General features: G+C 43.9%; 1 annotated feature.

Moving 5' to 3' along the window:
• Positions 476 to 676: a silencer, noted in NCBI's record as "peak2712 fragment used in MPRA reporter construct". NCBI's record gives its function as "represses an SCP1 promoter by STARR-seq MPRAs in K562 erythroleukemia cells {active_cell/tissue: K562}" and the evidence as "EXISTENCE:reporter gene assay evidence [ECO:0000049][PMID:32103011]".

Here is a 4,618-nt window from a genome sequence, read left to right as displayed (position 1 = left end):
AGAGTTGAATGCAGTGGTAGAGAGCAACACAGGGGATATAGAGTTGGGGCTGACTTATTTCATTTGAGGTAGCAGAGGGTAACAATTTTCAAGGTAAAATAAACTCAACTTACGGGTAATCAAGGAAGGGCTTCCTAAAGGAAGTGACACTTTGGCGAGTCTCAAAGAATTTGTAATCAGTAAGGGCTATGACAAGTGAAAGTGTGTGTGTGTGTGCGTGTGTGTGTGTGTGTGTGTGTGTGTGTGTGTGATTTCAAAAAATAGCATGCATGAAGGCCCAGAACTATGGAGAGGATTGAGATGTGGGGGAAATTACAAGTCAGGCCATGTGGCTGGGGCATGCGATTATTGTTGGAGAGTGGCTGGAAAGGGGAGAGTTAGAAGAGGACGGGGTAAATCAGAGATCCAAGTAAAACATCTGGGAAATAGAGGCTTTCAGGAAATAAGACACTGTGTGCAACCTGATGTAATCCTGTGCTGGAGACAACATTCAGAAATGAGAAAGTAGACAGAGCTGACTTGCAGCCCTGAAGGACAGGCTTTGTTTCAGCACCACGGCCAGCGGCTAGCACACTTGCACAGGATCTGAGGCAAAGCTCATTCTCTGATTTTGAGCTGCACCCTAAGATCTCAAAGCGCTAAGGAGTAGGAAGTGGAAGTGGCTGAAGAGTTGATGCTCAGACTCTGGTTATAACGAAGAGTGTGTGTATGTTCATTTATTCTTGGATGAGTGCAGAAGATGCTCTTAAGAAATTAATGCTGTGATTCAAAATTGGGTAGAGTTAGCAGACATTTTTCCTGAATTCATTTCTGAATTTCCTGATTCATTCTTTCTGAAGCACAGAAGAGTCAAACTTTGAACCCCTACTGTATCCTATGATGAAAATGTTCTCTTTCATGGATGTGATTTAATTACTTTATTGGTTATATGAACCAGCTCAGAGACTAGAATCCTTGGTCTCAGCTTGAAGCTAAGGCCTCTCAAAAGAAAACTGCTCATTACAGTCAAAAAGTCAGGATGTACAATGGAAAATTCTCAGTTTGTTGAGGATACAATTCATTTGAACATTTTTTGACATAAGGTAAAAATAATAACTATCTCCAACACCCTTATCTTCACACACCTTCCATTTTTGGCAATTCTAAAGAAGTATTTGTTCCCTTTCTTCTGCCTGAGTTAGACTCTGTCCTGTTCCTTCTCTCCTATGAGCATCCACAGGCCTGAGTATGTAACTGAATCATTATTCAGCAAGCTCTCAACTTTTTAATTCATCTGTTCTCTGGCCTTTAAGAAAGTGGCCAGGCACAGTGGTTCACACCTGTAATCCCAGCACTTTGGAGGCCGAGGTGGGCAGATCACAAGGTCAAGAAATTGAGACAATCCTGGCCAACATAGTGAAACCCCGTCTCTACTAAAAATACAAGAATTAGCTGGGTGTGGTGACTCATGCCTGTAGTCCAGCTACTCGGGAGGCTGAGGCAAGAGAATCACTTGAGCCTGGGAGGCAGAGGTTGCAGTGAGCCAAGATCGTGCCACTGCACTCCAGCTTGGCGACAGAGTGAGACTCTGTCAAAAAAAAAAAAAGTAAGACTTGTTGGAGAGGAGTAGAAGTTTGCTTGGATTAGACAGGACTGGTGGAAAGAAATGGGTTCTAACCTGAGATCCACAAGAGGGCTTCCTTCCATGGGTCATGGATTCTCAGAAATTCTTTGTAAATATTAAGCAAAAAGAACAAAGAGCTAAAAACAGAACTACCATTCAACCTAGCAATCTTATTACTGGGTGTATTCCCAGAGAAATATAAATCATTCTACCAAAATATGCATGTAATTGTATGTTCATTGCAGCAGTATTCACAGTAGCAAAGATGTGGACTCAACATAGATGTCCATCAATGGTGGACTGGATGAAGAAAATGTGGTACATATACACCATAGAATACCATGCAGCCATAAAAAAGAATGAAATCATGTCCTTTGCAGCAATGTGGACTCAGCTGCAGTCCATTATCCTAAGCAAATAAGCATAGAAACAGAAAACCAAATACCACATGTTTTCACTTATAAGTGGGAGCTAAACATTGAGTACATAGGGACACGAAGAGGGGAACAATAGACACTGGAGCCTACTTGAGGGTAGAGGGTGGGAGGCGGGTGAGGATTAAAAAGCTACCTATCGGGCACTATACTTGCTATCTATTTTGGTGATGAAATCATTTGCATACCAAACTCCAGTGACTTGCAATTTACCCATGTAATAAAACTGTACATGGGAGGCCGAGGCAGGCAGATCACGATATCAGGAGTTCGAGATCAGCCTGGCCAACATGGTGAAATCCCGTCTCTGCTAAAAATACAAAAATTAGCCAGGCATGGTGGCATGCAGCTGTAATCCCAGCTACTTAGGAGGCTGAGGCAGGAGAATCGCTTGAACCTGGGAGGCGGAGGTTGCAGTGAGCCGAGATCGCACCACTGCACTCCAGCCTGGGGGACAGAGTGAGACTCTGTCTCAAAACAAAACAAAAACAAAACAAAACAAAACAAAAAAACTGTACGTATACCTCCTGAACTGAAAATAAAAGTTAAAAAAAAGAAAAATATTACAAAATGGTGTGTGTGTGTGTGTGTGTGTGTGTGTGTGTGTGTAGGGGTGTGTGTGTGTGTGTGTAGGGGTGTGTGTGTGTGTGTAGTGGTGTGTGTGTGTGTGTAGGGGTGTGTGTGTGAGTGTGTGTGTGTGTGTGTGTGTGTAGAGGTGGGTGTTTATGATCATGTTTCAAGTAAGCAAGACCATAACTTTCTTTAGATGCTCTAAGAGGCTCATGACTCCTCCAAATGAGTTAAAAACTACAGGATAGAGAAGAATAGATTTAGAGGACTCAACCGTCTCTGGCTAAAGTTGCTACCCACATCCCTACCCCACTCCTCATTCTAAAAGTAAGCTCTAAGGTGGGCTAGACTGTGAGCCACATGTAGGGAAAGTCTGTTTATATTTCCTACTGTTAAAGGTCCAGAACCTAGAATTACACTTGGCTTGTAGAGTGTCTTTGAATAAATTCATGGGCTTGATTGGTAGGATGGGGGCAAGTAAGCAGTTTTCAGGGATTCCCATGCAAGAAAACAGGAAGAAAACCCAGATTCCTAAGGGTTTGGTAGAGGCCTGAGCTGCTCTGGTATGGTCCCAAGTGACCAGGTCAGCAGTGCTGCTGCATAGAATGGCACCTGGTGCTGGGCTTGATCTATTAATAATGGTGATGTCAGACACATATCCAGGCTCCCAGCAGTGCAAAGCACTCTCATATCAAATACTTGATTTTTCCTCAAATCCTGGGATATAGACAAGGCCCTTAGGATAACATATGAGAGAAAAACAGTAATAGTCATGATAGTGGCAGTAGGGGTGGTGAGTGATTTATTCATAGGTCTTCTTCTCACATCCATCAGTGCTTTCCTGGAGCTCCAGAAAGGAGTTTCCTCCATATGCTTCTTTCCCGCTGTCTACAGGAAAGTTCACATCATTCAGATCAGGTCACCTGAGTGGGAAGACCTGGGAAGACAATGAATGTGTGTCTCTATGTTGTATCAGGAAGTAGGGGTGGGCAAGGTGTGGGAGGGAGAGCTGAGCTTTGCTACTGACTCTATCATATTGTCTTTAGGTCAAAGAGTCTTATGAAAGCTGAGGATAGAAGCTCACTGCCATTTAAACCACGGGAAGAGGGGAAGAAGAAAATCAGCAAGGGGTTAGAGAGGTCTGTTTGTGGAAGAGGCCAGGCTCAGCCCTGCCTGGGGCCTCAGTCTCCTGATGGGGCAAGGACAAAAGGGGAAAGTGTGAACATGTAATATGCCTTTCCTGTGTGGGAGTCCTTACGACATGGTTTGCATCAGAGGCTTCATTCATTCATCCCAAAGACACTAAAGGGTACATGCTGCCATATCCATTGCAGAGATGAGAAAACAGGCAAAGAGGGTGTGAAGTGGCTTGCCCTTCCACCAACAGCTCATTTCAGAGCTAGGAGAAAGACATTGGGGGCAGACAACCTCAAAGTTTTCTTCCATCCTGAAAGGTTGGTTCAAGGAAAATGTAGTAGAATGAATAATGCCCTTCCCGCCACGACCACCACCAAAGATATGTCCTGGTCCCCAGACCCTGTGAATATGTTACCTTATACGGCGAAAGAGATTTTGCAGATGTGATTCTGTTAAGGATTTTGAGACGGGGAGATTATCTTGTATTATCAGGGTGACCCCAGTATACTCACAAGGATACTTAAAAGTAAAAGGAAGTAGAAGAGTTCATCAGAGGAAGATGTGACTGCAGAAAAAAGGCACAGAGATGCATTGCTGCTGCCTTTGAAGATGGAGGAAGGGGCCACAAGCCAAGGAATGCAGCCAACCTTTAGAATCTGGAAACTGATTTCCCCTAGAGCCTCCAGAAGGATCACCACAGCCTTCCCAAGGCTTCCGTTTTAGCCCAGTGGGACACATGTCAGACTTTCAACGTGTCAGAACTGTGAGATAATAAATTTGGGTTATATTGAGCCACTAGGCTTGTGCTCTTTTGTTCCAGCAGCCATAGAAAACTAACAGAGATCACAGATGAAAGGAAGCCGGGAGTCGTGGT

The sequence above is a fragment of the Homo sapiens genome, chromosome 17, assembly GCF_000001405.40.
Source record: "Homo sapiens chromosome 17, GRCh38.p14 Primary Assembly".
NCBI classification, from domain to species: Eukaryota; Metazoa; Chordata; class Mammalia; order Primates; family Hominidae; genus Homo; species Homo sapiens.
The sequence above is the reverse complement of the archived record's forward strand: the minus strand, read 5'-3'. Positions and strand labels throughout refer to the sequence as shown.